At 47.5% G+C, this 16,404-nt stretch overlaps 1 protein-coding gene across 1 annotated transcript, besides 1 other annotated feature; it reads left to right on the forward strand.

Moving 5' to 3' along the window:
* Positions 6,017-6,076: an enhancer, noted in NCBI's record as "active region_5168". NCBI's record gives its function as "activates an Ori minimal core promoter by ATAC-STARR-seq in GM12878 lymphoblastoid cells {active_cell/tissue: GM12878}" and the evidence as "EXISTENCE:reporter gene assay evidence [ECO:0000049][PMID:35858748]".
* On the forward strand, positions 8,676-9,860 carry KRTAP5-8 (keratin associated protein 5-8). The gene has a single exon (NM_021046.3). The coding sequence runs from the start codon at positions 8,707-8,709 to the stop codon at positions 9,268-9,270; it is 564 nt and encodes a 187-aa protein (NP_066384.2). The 5' UTR covers positions 8,676-8,706; the 3' UTR covers positions 9,271-9,860.
* The last annotated feature ends 6,544 nt before the right edge of the window (positions 9,861-16,404 follow it).

Below are 16,404 nucleotides of genomic sequence, written 5' to 3' on the forward strand. Positions count from 1 at the left end.
GCAGTGAACACTCCTAGCACCAAGACTGTTTGTTATCTTCAAATGCTATTTATTGTATCTACCTGGAACCTGGCTTCTCTGGTGAATGGGCTGGAAGCGAACAAGACAAATCTAGAACATCTTGTTATCCCAGAAAGCAGAGATGATAACTAAGACTAATGCAGTCACATCAAAAGAACTAAAGAGTCAGCCGGGCAAGGTGGCTCATGCCTGTAATCCCAGCATTTTGGGAGGCTGAGGCGAGTGGATCACTTGAGGTCAGGAGTTCGAGACCAACCTGACCAACATGGTGAAACCCTGTCTCTACTAAATACAAAAAATTAGCCAGGTGTGGTGGTGCATGGCTGCTGAGGCGAGTGGATCACTTGAGGTCAGGAGTTCGAGACCAGCCTGACCAACATGGTGAAACCCTGTCTCTACTAAATACAAAAAATTAGCTGGGTGTGGTGGTGCATGCCTGTAATCCCAGCTACATGGGAGGCTGAGGCAGGAGAACCCTTTGAACCTGGGAGGCAAAGATTGCAGTGAGCTGAGGTGGCGCCATTGCACTCCCGCCTGAGCAGCAAGAACAAAACTCTGTCTCAGAAAAAAGAAAAAAAAAATGGTGAGAGGCAAACCTAGAGAAACTCTCTGTAGACAGACTTGGGACAACCTGAACACCAATTTCTTAAATGGACTGATACACATCAAATATGTTTAAACTAGGAGTGAGTAATCATACACAAAAAATAATAATACAGATCCTATGCAAACTGTAAAACTTAGTTGCCTTTAGAGGATTCTAGGAATCAGTTCATTATTTTAAAGATGACTAAGTAAAGGAAAATAATCAGGCACTTATTCTATCTCTGACAGACAAACTCTATCTTATGGTAACAAAATTAGAGGAAGTATTCCAGTTTATAAATAAAGAAGAAATCATAGAATTAGAAACTCATCATTTTGTAACCCCTAATGAAATAATGGGGCTATCAAATTTACTGCATGCAGCCAAATCAGTGGAAAATTTATAGCCTTAAATGCATATGTTAGAGTAAAAATGAAAAACTTAAGCTCATTTAGCCAAAAACCTATCTATAGGACTGGCAGCATTGCCACGCAGAGCACAGAATGGGGTGATAATTAGGGCTATTTGTAGGCATCCTGGTTCTCCTCTCCTTCTGGGAACAGGTTGGATGGCAGGTAATAGGGTGGCCCTTTCATGAGCCCTCTCTAAGTCAGGTGTGGCCATGTGATTTGCTTGCGTCAGTGGGAAGAAGTTTGAAGCACCTGCTGCAGTTTTCTGCATTCTCTCTTTCTTCCCCCACCATGACCACTAACGTTCCAAGCAGTGGCTGCTGCTTCCGACTGAGTCCCAGAGTGATGAAGTACAGAGCAGAGTCACCAGCTGATGTGCAGTGACCTGCGATGTGAACAAGAAGTAAGCCTGTGTCGTGTGAAGTCACTGAAACGTGGGGGTGGCGCGTGTGAGCAGCGTAATTGGTCTATCCTGGTTGACCCAGAAACCTACCAGAACACAAACATAGCATTGTGGCCTTGGTTTATTGGTCAGGGGGTGGGTGGAAAGGAAAGCTATCGGAGGCGAGAAAGGTAGTTATTATGTGTTTGGTAAGACTGTCCTAGATCGTGTATCCCTGAGGGAAGAGTTCAGAAAACACAGTGCCACTCCCGCGTGGGTCATTGTGGCTGCATTTATCAAAGCATTACAAGAACAGGGTGAGCTCGAAAGAACCGGCTGGTTTCAGCCAGGAGGAAAGTTCTAGAAAGCCTGGAGAAACCTGGGGAGCTACAGAGTTCTCAGTTCTGCCTGGTAAATGATAAGACTTAGAAGGCCTTTGAGCAGCAAAGGACAATTAAAGCAGAAATGAAAAGAACCGTCTTTAAGGGTACACTCTGATGAGATTCCATGAGGGCGGACCACACCACAGGTAGGGAGTTGGTGGCTGCCTCCAGCCTTGCCAGTGGGGCAGGAGGGGCTGCTGTGGGGTCAGTGGATCCAGAAGACGCCAGAAACTTCTCCCCACTGTGGCTCACCAGGCGTTCTCTTTGCTTGGCCTGTGGCTCCCGTGGGTAAATTTGTGTCTTGCTGTGTAATAAAGAGGTTTCTCCAGGGAAGAGGGGGAAGTCTTTGGCCCAGGCTGGACCAAGTGACCTGCAGATTAAAGATAGCCTCACTATCACAGTAACAGGCACCAAAGAAAGGCCTGCTGCCGGCCATTGTTGGAAATAGGCCCAGCAGAACCAATGCTGTCTGTGCTTGTGGTGTGGGGGGTAGAAGAGAAATCAAAAGAAACCCCAAACCGGCCAGGCGCGGTGGCTCATGCCTGTAATCCCAGCACTTTGGGAGGCTGGGGCGGGTGGATCACGAGGTCAAAAGATCAAGATCATCCTGGTCAACATGGTGAAACCTCATCTATACTAAAAATACAAAAACTAGCCGGGCGGGGTAGCACGCATCTGTAGTCCCAGCTACTTGGAAGGCTGAGGCAGGAGAATTGCTTGAACCTGGAAGGCAGTGGTTGCAGTGAGCCAAGATCCTGCCACTGAACTCCAGCCTGGCGACACAGCGAGACTCTGTCAAAAAAACAAACAAACAAACAAACAACAAAAAAACCCACAAAACCTTCCTTAAAAATGAACAGATGTCACATAATTGTTAGCAAGATTTAGGACATAGTTGTAACTCTCCATGAAATCAACAAAGAGAAAATCACGTGTTGGATATTTTATGCATTTTTTTGATAAAATCATAGGATTGCCTGTTGCAACATCCTTCATTTCACAGTTGGCCGTTACAGAATGACGCTGAAGACATTACAGAATGACGTTACAGAATCACGTTGCAAAACCAACTGAGCTCCTTCTCATCCTTCACGAACGCCTCTCTTCGAGGTCAACTCACCCCATTGGGAAGTCCCTATCTTGTCTCCTTGGCCAGCTTCTCTTTTAGGGTGAACCGCCTGATCTTCACTGCAGTGGCCTTGCCTGGCTCCCAGCAGATGTTCTCCAATGTCACTTTCAGTGACATCACAGAATCCTACATTTCTTTCTTTTTTGCAAGCATTGCAATTTTACTTAAAATTTGCACTGTAAATATGACTGTGGAAAATGTATTTAAGAGAGCTGGTTCTGCAAAGACAGGGAAGAGATTTGGGAGGCAGGGGTGTGGGAATAAGCGATATTCTTAAGTAAGTGAGCTGCTTGAGTGGAGGACACTTTTAGAAGTGGTCAGCTTGGGCTTGGCATGGTGGCTTACTCCTGTAAGCCCAGTATTTTGGGAGGTTAAGGAAGAAGGAACACTTTAGCTCAGGAGTTCAAGACCAGCCTGGGTGACATAGCAAGACCCCGTCTCTACAGAAAAATAAAATAATTAGCTGGGCTAAATTATTAGCTGGGCTAATAATTTTTTTATTTTTTTTCTACAGAAAAATAAAAAAAATTAGCTGTGGTGGTGCACACCTGCAGTCCCAGCTAATGGGGAGGCTGAGGTGGAAGAATCTCTTGAGCCTGGGAAGTTGAGGCTACAGTGAGTTATGATTGCACCACTATACTCCCGCCCGGGTGACAGAGTGAGACCCTGTCTTAAATAAATAAATAAATAAATAAAAGACATGGTCAGCTTGTTTACTTGTTTGTGATTATTTTCTTTTTTTCCTTCTTCTTCCTCTTTTCTTTTCTTTTTTTTTTTTCAATAGAGGTAGAGTCTCACTGTGTTGCCCAGGCTAGTCTTCAACTCCTAGGCTCAAAGGATCCTCCTGCCTCAGTCTCTCGAGTAGCTGGTACTACAGGCATGCACCACTGCCGCTAGTGAATATTTTCAAGACCAGATGGTCCCCCCAACCCAAGGAATCTTGGATAATGAGTGAAGGGAGACCCTGTATGGGGCCTGGAGAAGCTGGCTATGTGTGGAGTGGTCACTGAGGGAGCATCTTAGCATGAATCTTGGTCAGAGTGATCGGGGAACCAGACTCAGTCTGGAAACAAGCAGGGTACACCTTCAGCTTACAGACAGCAGATTGTGGAGCTGCTCAGCCTCCATAATTACATAGTTCAATTCTTCAGAATCATCTGTGTATCTCTCTATCTATCTATCCATCCATCTATCATCTATGTGCCTCCATATCCATTTATGTTTTTGTTGTTGAGATGATCAAGTTGGTTCTAAAATTTCGTTGGAAAAGCAAAGGAATTGAAAAAAAGAAAACAATCTTTAAAAAGAAGAATGAGGTTGAAGTCTCACAATACTTGACTTCAAAATCTCCCATAATGTCACAGTGACGCTGTGTTTGCATTAGGAAGCAGCATACAGACCTGCGGAGCAGGACACAGGAACAAACTCGCCATAGTGTCGGCTGATTCTCATTAAAAACATCAGCGATTTCAGTGGGATAAGGATGGTTGGTTTATTTATTTGTTTATATAGTCATTTATTTATTCATTTTTCAGATGGAATTTTGCTCTTGTTGCCCAGGCTGGAGTGCAATGGGATGATCTCGGCTCACTGCAACCTCCACTTCCCGGGTCCAAGCAATTCTCCTGCCTCAGCTTCCCGAGTAGCTGGGATTACAGGCCTGTGCCACCACACCCACCTAATTTTGCATTTTTAGTAGAGACAGGGTTTCTCTATGTTGGTCAGGCTGGTCTTGAACTCATGACCTCAGGTGATCTGCCCATATAGGCCTCCCAAAGTGCTGGGATTACAGGCAAACCACCTTTGTTTGTTTGTTTGTTTTGAGACGGAGTCTCACTTTGTCGCCCAGGCTGGAGTGCAGTGCCACAATCTTGGCTCACTGCAACCTCTGCCTCCTGGGTTCAAGCGATTCTCCTGCCTCAGCCTCCTGAGTAGCTACGATTACAGGCGCCCACCACCACGCCCAGCTAATTTTTGTATTTTTAGTAGAGATGGAGTTTCGCCACGTTGGCCAGGCTGGTGTTGAACTCCTTACCTCAGGTTATCTTACCTCGTCGGCCTCCCAAAGTGCCTGGATTACAGGCGTGAGCCACTGCGCCTGGCCACGATAGTCTTTTTATCAAATGCTGCTGAAACAATTGGATGAAAATGTGAAAAAATGGATCTCAACTCCTACCTCACATTACACACAAAAATTAGCTTGAGATCCAGCATAGAACTAAATATAGAAACAAAAACTCTAATGCTTCTAGAGGAAAAGCTAGGAAAGAGAGTTTTCAAAAAGGTCACAAGAAAGCACTAGCTGTCAAAGAAACAAATGTTAAATTGCACTTCAAAATCAAAAACGTTTCCCTATAAAAATAAGATAATAATAAGGCAAATCAAATACTGAAAAATTATATATTATGTATTATACATACATATATATTATATATACACATATGTAGGGAAAAGAAAGAGAGATCAGACTGTTACTGTGTCTATGTAGAAAACGAAGACATCAGAAACTCCATTTTGACCTGTACCCTGAACAATTGCTTTGCCCTGAGATCCTGTTAATCTGTAACTTTGCCCCAACCTTGAGCTCACAAAAACATGTGTTGTATGGAATCAAGGTTTAAGAGATCTAGGGCTGTGCAGGACGTGCCTTGTTAACAAAATGTTTACAGGCAGTATGCTTGGTAAAAGTCATCGCCATTCTCCAGTCTCGAGTAACCAGGGGCACAATGCACTGCTGAAAGCCGCAGGGACCTCTGCCCTGCAAACCTGGGTATGGTCCAAGGTTTCCCCCCAGGTGATAGCCTGAGATATGGCCTCGTGGGATGGGAAAGACCGTCCCCCAGCCCGACACCCATGAAGGGTCTGTGCTGAGGAGGATTAGTAAAAGAGGAAGGCCACTTGCAGTTGAGATAAGAGGAAGGCCTCTGTCTCCTGCCTGTCCCTGGGAACTGAATGTCTCAGTGTAAAACCCGATTGTACATTTGTTCTATTCTGAGATAACAGAAAAACCCCCCTGTGGCAGGAGGCGAGACATGTCGGCAGCAATGCTGCTCTGTTATTCTTTACTCCACTGAGATGTTTGGGTGGAGAGAAGCATAAATCTGGCCTACGTGCACATCCAGGCATAGTACCTCCCCTTGAACTTAATTGTGACACGGATTGCTTTGCTCACATGTTTTCTTGCTGACCTTCTCCCCACTATCACCCTGCTCTCCTGCCTCATTCCTCTCGCTGAGATAGTGAAAATAGTAATCAATAAATACTGAGGGAACTCAGAGGCCTGTGCCGGCACAGGTCCTCCGTATACTGAGTGCCGGTCCCCTGGGCCCACTTTTCTTTCTCTATACTTTGTCTCTGTGTCTTATTTCTTTTCTCAGTCTGTCGTCCCACCTGATGAGAAATACCCACAGGTGTGGAGGGGCTGGCCCCCTTCACACATATATGCATGTATATAAAATACATGTGTAAATATATATATATATACATACATATGGCAAAGCATTTCATTCATATATTCTTGATATTGAATTTATGAAGAGTTCCAACAACTCAATAACCCTACAATAAAGTGGGCAAACAATTTTAACAAAACCTTTTAACAAGAAAGATGTGAAAATGACCAGTAAGTGCAAGAAAAGACCCTCACAAACATTAGTCATCAGAGAAACGCAGATCAAAATCCACATGAGAGGCAATTTTACACCCATCCGACGCCTCACATTTGAAAACCCAATGGCGGTACTGACAGGCCTGGGGCAGCGGACGCTCTCAGGCATTGCTGAGGAGAAGGGAAAGCAGCTTGAGCGTTTGGAAAGCTGTCTGTTTCTTAGAAAGTTAAGCATACACTACTCTATGGTCTAGCAAGGCCAGTCCTCAATATTTAACCAAAAAATTAAAACCAAAAACATGAATACGGAAGGACTGGAAGGCATGATTATGTGTTATTTATCATCGCCCCAAACTGCGAACAATTCAAATATCTATGAACAGGAGAATGGAGGAACGCCGTGGAGAGTATTTTTACACGAAACACTACGCGATGATTAAAAAAGAAGAATAAGGCCAGACGTGGTGGCTCATGCCTGTAGTCCCAGCACGTTGGGAGGCTGAGGCAGGTGGATTGCCTCAGCCCAGGAGGTCGAGGCTGCGGTGAGCCATGAGCGCACCACTCTGCACTCCAGCCTGGGTGACAGAGCAAGACCCTGTCTCAAAAAAAAAAAAAAGAAGAAGAAGAAGAAGGGCAAATCATTGACACACACAATAACATCGTGAGGGAAAGAAACCAGAGTACATTTTTAATGATTTCATTTCCGCGACATTCAATAGCAGGCAAAACTAGTCAGCAAAGCTGTGCCTGTAGTGATGGGCAGGAAGGGAAGGCCGTGAAAGTGAACCTTCTGGGGTTGAAGCAGTTGGTCATGGTTGGGGTGATGGGCACACGAGTACATGTTTAGCGGAACTCATGGAATTGTACACTTAAAGTATGTGCAGAGGCTGGTAGGCCAAGGCTGCAGTGAGCTAGGATCGCACCACTGCCCTCCAGCCTGGGCGACAGAATGAGACACTGCCTCAAAAAAAAAAAAAAAAAAAAAAAAAAAAAAAAAAAAATGCAGTCCGGGTGTGGTGGCTCATGCCTGTAATCCCAACACTTTGGGAGGCCGAGGCAGGTGGATTACTTGAGGTCAGGAGTTCGAGACCAGACAGGCCAACGTGGTGAAACCCCCTCTCTACTAAAAATACAAAAATTAGCTAGGCATGGTGGCACACGCCTGTAATCCCAGCTACTCAGGGGGCTGAGGCAGGAGAATTGCTTGAACTCGGGAGGCAGAGGTTGTAGTGAGCCGAGATCATGCCACTGCACTCCAGCCTGGGCAACACAGTGAGATTTAGTCTCAAAAAAAAAGCATTTCACTGCATGTAAATTTTACCTCAATATAAAATTAAAATTAATCTTCGGAAAATAAAAGTACATTAGAGAGGATGGCTAATCAAAATTTTTGTAGCCTTCAAGGAGAATAAATTTGAAGCATATCTGTTGATTTGTGGAATTTTTACAAAGACTTAATTGAGGAAAACTTGAAAGCATTAGAAAGGGTCCCGTTCCTCTGTTCCCTCTGTGAGCCCAGCTTGCCTGAAGGGAACGTGGGTCTAATCCGTGTCTGGAGGAGTGAGCCGAACCACAGGAAGAAGAGGTAAGAAAGACAAAGGAGAACCAGGGCCACACTCAAATCCACGCTCTTCAAAACTGTGTTTTACAAATTTGACAAAATATTTATCCTGGAAATTTTTAAGCGGTGGAACCTATAGACAGCCTTTTCTTTCAGCTTATTTTGTTAGTTTTAATTTTATTTAATTTTTTTACAAAATGACCACCGTTGATATAAACACCAATGCCAGGGGGTGGAGGGTCTGCATCGCTGAGGAGAGCCCTGAGCGCCAAGGAAAATGGTCCACCCGCTGGCCAAGCCACCACCGTCTCCCAGGCTCCCGGGACACCTGCTGGAGAGGGAGCCCAGTGTCTTCTAACAAAGGGAAACACCTATGAGGAAGAGGCCAAATTTAGAAACCAAGGAAAGGAGAGCTTGGCTGGAGCTGATGGCGGCTCATGGGATTGTGAAGAGATTAAAAATAACACTCGTGCATGTGAAATAGCAGAAACAACAACAGAAGTATTCATGTGTTCAGTATAAACACCTGGGCAGGGATATAAAGGGCCCAGGCTCAGGGAGTTCCACACCTGCACACCTCCCTCTCACCTGCTCCTCTACCTGCTCCACCCTCAACCCACCAGAACCATGGGCTGCTGTGGCTGCTCTGGAGGCTGTGGCTCCGGCTGTGGGGGCTGCGGCTCTGGCTGTGGGGGATGTGGCTCTAGCTGCTGTGTGCCCATCTGCTGCTGCAAGCCCGTGTGCTGCTGTGTGCCAGCCTGTTCCTGCTCCAGCTGTGGCTCCTGTGGGGGCTCCAAGGGGGGCCGTGGCTCCTGTGGGGGCTCCAAGGGGGACTGTGGCTCCTGTGGGGGCTCCAAGGGAGGCTGTGGTTCTTGTGGCTGCTCCCAGTGCAGCTGCTATAAGCCCTGCTGTTGCTCCTCAGGCTGTGGGTCATCCTGCTGCCAGTCCAGCTGCTGCAAACCCTGCTGTTCCCAGTCCAGCTGTTGTAAGCCCTGCAGCTGCTCTTCAGGCTGTGGGTCATCCTGCTGCCAGTCCAGCTGCTGCAAGCCCTGCTGTTCCCAGTCCAGCTGCTGTAAGCCCTGCTGCTGCTCTTCAGGCTGTGGGTCATCCTGCTGCCAGTCCAGCTGCTGCAAGCCCTGCTGTTCCCAGTCCAGCTGCTGTGTCCCAATTTGCTGCCAGTGCAAGATCTGAGGCTCTGCCTACAAATCTCAGCTGGTCCCACAGATCTGGGCTCTCCAGGAATGACTGTAGCTGTGTCCTGAATTCCTGAAGCACATCTCTGAGTCTGTCCTCCTCTGGACTAAGGCAGCCTAGCGTCCAGGGCTCAGTACTCAGCTGCTCAGCCTCTGAGGTCATGAGGGCTTCTGGCATGCTGGGTGCTGCCCATCAACCCTCCCAGAATCCCCTCTTCCTTTCCTGACCTCATCACTTCAACCTTCTCAGGGCTTCAAGATCCCACATCCCTGGGCCCCTCCTGTGAGCCTGCTGGAAACACACTGAAACTGGAATCCTCCGACCTGCTGCCGCCTCTCCCCGGTCCCTGCAACCTCCTGGCTCCTCCACCCTTCATCTTCATCCTGCCTGAGCTGCCACAGCTCCGATTGTTTTTGGAGTTGACCTAGAGGACTCAGAATTATTAGAGACCCCAGGATCCTCTCCTGAGGAGGAGGGGCGCCCAGTCTCCTCTTCTACCTCTGACCTGGCCTTGTTTCTTTCCCCAGGGCTTCGCCTTGTAAGTGCCTAGGCTGAATCTTCTAAATAAATACGATCCACACCTCCCACGAGTTTGCGTTGTGATTCTTTTGTTTCAACTTCTGTGTGATTAGATAAATGTACAATTTTCACAGAGTCGCACTCCCAGGCATTTGGGAACCCCCCGTTCCCTGCTGTGTGAGTTTGCTAGGGCTGCCCCACAAACCATGTGGCTTATGCAACGGGAGTGGATCGTCTCACAGTTTGGAGGCCAGAATCTGCCATCGAGGTGCCTCAGGGCCGGGTCCTCCTGAGACCTCCCTCCGTGGCTTACTGATGCCGCCATCCCTATATCCTCATGTGCTTGTCCCTCTGTGTGTGTCTGCGTCCTCATCTCTTTGTATAAGGACACAGATTAGATTAGGGCCTACCCTACTCCATTATGTCCACGTTTTAACTAATCACCCCTGTAAAGATCTATCTCCAAATAAGGTGCCATTCTGAGATACTGCAGTGAGGACTCCAACGTATGTACCAGGGGGCACAACTCAGCCGTGGTATCCACTTGGCTTGGGGCATCACCATCTTTCCCATCTTCCAGGATACAGAATTGGGAGGCCCCTTGGGCTTCTCTCCCCTACAAGTCGCCAAATCCCACAGCATCTCCTGGAAGACATCCTAAGACACCTCCTTCCTGCCTTCTTGTGACACCTCCCTACCTAGACCTCTGCTTCAGGCCCCCAACTGTCCCTTCCCTGCTGCCTCTGTCAGCTCGGGCTGCCAGAACAAAACCCACAGAGTAAGCCTGGAAGACGGAACAACAGACACCATTTCTCCCAGTTCCGGAGGCTGGAGGGCCTAGACCAAAGTCCGGCATGTTCGACTCATGGGGAGGGAAGGCAGGAGCTGGCGGAGGAGGAGGTGGGCTGCAAGGCTGGAGCCCCCAGACCCAGGCGTCTGTAACAGCAGAGCACGGGAGGCTGCTCGGGAAGCCACCTTCTCACAGGATGGCAGGCCGTGAGTGTCTGATGGAACTGTGACAAGAAAGTGAAAACTCAACAACACGGAATTTTTAGAATGTGCTTCTGAGTTTCTGTTTTAGTAAGTAAGGTTGACTAGACACTATTCACAACCTGGAACTTCTCAAAGGACATGGTGAAACCCCGTCTCCACTAAAAATACAAAAATGAGCCGGGCATGGTGGTGGGCGCCTGTATCCCAGCTACTCAGGAGGCTGAGGCAGGAGAATCGCTTGAAACCGGGAAGCAGAGGGTGCAGTGAGCCCAGACTGCACCACTGCACTCCAGCCTGGGTGACAGAATGAGATTCCATCTCTAAATAAATAAATAAAGTTTTAAAGTGCTGTATTTAAAACATATATTTTTTAAGTCACTGAGCTGTTGAAAAAATAAAATAATCCTCAGAGCCAACAAGCAAGAGAGAGCTGGACCCACAGAGGAAGGTGAAAGTCAAAAACGGCCTCCACCCTGTGGCTGGACCAGAAAGAGGCCCTCTCTGTTTTCTTCCACCTGTGGTATTGCTTCTGTTGTCAGCATGAATCTGAGAAAAACGTAGTTTCTCTACACTCTCACACAGAACACTCTCATTCCTGATGTGCGGGTTTTCCCCACACTACTCAATTTTCTGCCTCTTTCCACACTGACCAATTCTCTGACACCAGCTGGGTGTCCTGCAATTCACTCCCATCTTGAAACAGAGTTCATTTCAGATCCCACAGGCGAAGGGCTCAGTCCCACAAGACTGTCCCCACTTCAGAGGCTGACATGGTTTTCCTCTGTCCCCACCCAAATCTCATCTTGAACTGTAGCTCTCACAATTCCCCTGTGTTGTGGGAGGGACCCAGTGGGAGGTAATTGAATCACGGGGGTGGGTGTTTCCTGTGCTGTTCTCATGATAGTGAATAAGTCTCACGAGATCTGATGATTTTATGAATGGGAGTTTCCCTGCACAAGTTCTCTTATCTTGTCTGCCACCATGTGAGATGTGCCTTTCACCTTCCACCATGATTGTGAGGCCTCCCCAGCCAGGTAGAACTGTGAGTCCATTAAACTTCTTTCTTTTGTAAATTGCCCAGTCTCAGGTATGTCTTTATCGGCAGTGTGAAAATGGACTAATACAGATGCCAATCACGAGTCCAGCCTCCCAAGCTTCTAACCGATGGGCTATAAATCAGGGTTTACACTGATACCTGAAATGAGTGGCTGAGGCAAAGCTCTCTGTCCATCAAGGTTTACTAAGCCTGCTTTAAGGCGCACCTGAGAAAAATGCAAGATGCAGGCACATCTGTGGCTGTTTTCCCAGAGAGATTTTTGGGAAGTTTGGTATTTATACATTTCCTTAAAGGGGGGCAGGCAGGTAGGAAGAGGCAGGTAAGCATTAGGCAAATGATTGCATTCCTGTGAGACTTTAGTTAGTGCCCAGTAAATCTACATTTTACATGAGGTAAGGTGAACGTTTGAAGAGAAAAAGGGACTAAAGGAAGAGTCGGTTGTGCAGACCTCTCTGGGTAGATGGAGGAGGGACTGGTGTCATCTTGTTTTTGTTCTGCTTCTGGGAAGATAAACTCATAATCTATATGATCAGTGTGGAATGGAACACTTTCGTTTTAGGAGCTGGACTTGGATTGCAGGCCTGAAGTCACAACGGGCACATCCTTGTTGATGGCAGGACGCACTTCTTGAGAGGTTTTGCAACCAGCATAGCGCATATTTATGAGTGATTTGTGGAGGAAGTGTCCTGAGACACCTGAAGCCTTTGCCGTTTCCTGGGCCTGGCAAGCGAAACACACAGCAACACAGGCTGTGGAGGAACAGTGCTGCTTTTGCGAGAGGGCTTGGGGTTCTGAGATTTTTATTTTTCTTTACTCAACACCACCCTCCTTGGGTTTGATAATCTGCTAGAACAGCACCCAGAACACAGGGAAACACTAGCTTATGTTTACTGGTTTATTATAGAGGATGAGACACAGACGAACCCCTAGGTGAAGAGGCACCAAGGGTGAGGTCCAGGATGGTCCTGAGTGTGGGAGCTTTGTCCCGTGGAGCCGGAGTCATCGCTCTCCCGGCGGGGGGATGTGTGCACCAACTGGAAGCTGATGGGATCTCACTATTCAGTTTTGCAGAGCTCTCACCTGCAGCCCTCCCTGTCCTGGAGCTGAGTTCCCAGGCTCTTCTCACTGGGTCTTTCTGACCACCAGTCTCATCCTGAGGCCATCTAGGGGCCCCACCCTAAGTCACCTCATTAACATAAACACAAGTGTGATCTAAGGGAGCTTATTAGGAATAACAAAAAACAAACAAACCAACACATAATTAAAAAACCCAAGAAAACAATATCCCTCAGAGAAATTGCAAGGGCTTGAGGAGCTCTGTGCCGGGAGCCAAGAAGGAAGGTCAAGACCGTCTCTTCTCACACAGTGAAAGCTCCAGGTCAGTGTGCTTTGCGCATGTCCATGAGTCCTTTCCATCATTTGGTTCTGTGCAACTGCTGCAGGAGGAAGCTATTACGAATCAGGGAAGAAAACAGCCGAGCTTTTAAAAAGGCTTTGAGACTGGGCGCAGTGGTTCACACCTGTAATCCCAGCACTTTGGGAGGCTGAGGTGGGTGGGTCATGAGGTCAGGAGTTCGAGGCTAGCCTGGCCAATATGGCAAAACCCTGTGTCTACTAAAAATACAAAAATTAATTGGGCTTGGTGGCACATGCCTGTAATCCCAGCTACTCAGGAGGCTGAGGCAGGAGGATCACTTGAACCGGGAGGCAGAGGTTGCAGTGAGCTGAGATGGCACCACTGCACTCCAGCCTAGGCAATAGAGCGAGACTCCATCTCAAAAAATAAAAAAAGGCTTTGAAAGGCCCAATGTGGATGGGTACGAGCATGTAAATCCCCAGAGGTCCCTGCCTTGGTGAGTCACTAACAGCCTGCCAGCTCTATTTCCCCACGGCTCCTGAGAAAGACTGCATACATCGGGTAAGAGAGGCATCAGGGCCGCTGCAGGAGTGGGATGGAGAGGAGAGCCAGGCCACCCTGAGAGCGAGGCCACAGCAGCTGCAGGTGGAGGAGGGCCAGGGAGCCCAGGGTCGTCTGGAGGACAGACACAGGGGCTGCTGACGTCTGAGGAAGGCAGGAGAATGGACAGACGCCCTGTAAGCAAGATCCCAGATCTGCTCCAGAGAAGGGTCCCTTCCTGACCTCTAGCACTTGAGCCGGTAGAACTTAATCTAGCTAACGAAGCCATGAGCCTGGAACTGCCCAAGGGGGTTCACCTTGCCCGCTGCCTGGACAGAGCTGATTCATCAAGACAGGGGAACTGCAATAGAGAAAGAGTCATTCACACAGAGCTGGCTGTGCCTGAGACCGGAGTTTTATTATTACTCAGATCAGTCTCCCTGAGCATTTGGGGAGCAGAGTTTTTAAGGGCAACTTGGTGGGTGGGGAGAAGCCAGTGATCCAGGAGTGCTGATTGGTCAGGGATGAAATCACAAGGAGTCGAAGCCATCTTCTTGCACTGAGTCAGTTCCTGGGTGGGGGCCACAAGATCAGATGAGCCAGTTTATTGATCTGGGTGGTGCTACCTGATCCATCAAGTGCAGGGAGGGTCAGAATCTTGTAAATGACCTCTGGCTACATGACTCCTAAACTGTAATTTCTAATCTTGTGGCTAATGTTAGTCTAGTCCCCAGGCAAGAAGGTGGTCTGCTTTGGGAAAGGGTTGTTACTGTCTTTGTTTAAACTATAAACTACCAACTAAATTTCTCCCAAAGTTAGTTCAGCCAACACCCAGGAATGAACAAGGACAGCTTGGAGATTAGAAGCAAGGTGGAGTGGGCTAAGTTAGATCTCTCACTGTCTCAGTCATAACTTTGCAAAGGCGGTTTCAAGCCCAGCTGCCAACCAGAGGAACTCACTCAACACGTGAGCAGCAGGCAGAAGCAAGAGCCTTCCCCTGAGAAATAGGAAGGAAATCCTAGCCTCGCCCCCGCAACCACTGACTGAACGGGACCCCTCTTGGCCAAGGGGGTGTCGACAAAAAGTGTCAAACTCTGTAAAATATTTTAAAAGATTCTGAGCCGAACATGACTGACAAATGGCCCGTGACACAGCCCTCAGGAGGTCCTGAGAGCAGGTGCCCAAGAGGTTTGGGGTGCAGCTTGGTTTTATATATTTTAGGGAGACATGAGACTTTAATCAAATACATTTAAGAAATACTAAGGCCTAAACTCTGTTGTTGTTTTTTTTAATCTTGCTCAAATTCCTATCTAAGGGGTCTGCGCATGCCCTACAAATCATAAACTCTCAACAGACAGGTTTTGTTTAGCCCTAAATATTGTGACTTACTTTCCAACCCGACTCTGGCATAACATTATGAGACAAGGAAGAAAATCAAAATACTTTACCCCAAAACATGTTTCTTTGCTGTATTTTGAAATGGCCCTGCAGAGCGTCCTTTGTGGGGGAAAATTTGGATCTGCAAAGAATCTCTATTAACATAGCTAGATCTTTTTCTTCCAGACCCTCCCAGTCCTAAAGAGATTAACTAAGGTCTGAATAGGAAACATTTGTCATCTATTGTCTCTAAGGGCAGCCACTATCAGACTTCAAAAGAACTTTGGTCTCCACAATCTTTATCTTAACTTGAACTTTCCCTTCCTATCCATCCCAGGTCTTTAGACAAACTCAACCAACCGTGAACCAGAAAATGTTTAAATTTACCTATAGCCTGGAACCCCCTCACCCCCCATCCCCCACCACCCGCTTTGAGTTGTCCCGCCTTTCTGGACCAAACCAATGTAATTTTGAAATGTATTTGATTGATGTCTCCTGCCTCCCTAAAATGTGTAAAACCAAGCTGTACCATGACCACCTTGGGCCCATGTTCTCAGGACCTCCTGAGGGTTGTGTCTCAGGCCATGGTCACTCATATTGGGCCCAGAATAAATCTCTCTTCAAATATTTTACAGAGTTTGACTCTTTTTGTCGACATTACATTGGTTTGGTCCAGAAAAGTGGGACAACTTGAAGGGTGGGGAGTGCTTCCAGGCTATAGGTAGATGTAAAAATTTTCCGGTTGACAGTTGGTTGAGCTTGTCTAAAGACCTGGGATCAACAGAAAGGAATGTCTGGGTTAGGATAAAGGATCATGGAGACCCAGGTTGTTATTTGCAGAGGAAGCCTTTAGGTAGCAGGCTTCAGAGAGAAGAGGTTGTGAGACGTTTGTTATCGGACTTAAAGTCTGTGTGGATGTTAATGCCAGAGAGGTAGAATGAGGCATGTCTGACCCCCACTGCCCATCATAGTGTCTCAGGTTAAATTTTAAAACAGCCCTGGCTGAGGAGGAAGTCCATTCAGATGGTCGGGGAGGAGGTCTTAGAATGTTATGTTTGGTTAACCGGGAAACCTTGGAAGCTGAGTTCCTGGCTACGGGGGGATGGGAAGCTGGACTTGCGCCCTTCTCCTACTCCCTGGCCAGCCATGACCCAGCTCCCTCCCCTCAGGGAAAACAGAAACCAATTCTGTGGAGACTGCACTGAGGAGATCAGTGTACCCCTGACATTGCCCCCTCCTTCTTGATAGGAGATCCACCACGGAGAGGCCCTGGCCATTCTACGGAAGA

The sequence above is a fragment of the Homo sapiens genome, chromosome 11 (genome assembly GCF_000001405.40).
Source record: "Homo sapiens chromosome 11, GRCh38.p14 Primary Assembly".
Taxonomy (NCBI): Eukaryota; Metazoa; Chordata; class Mammalia; order Primates; family Hominidae; genus Homo; species Homo sapiens.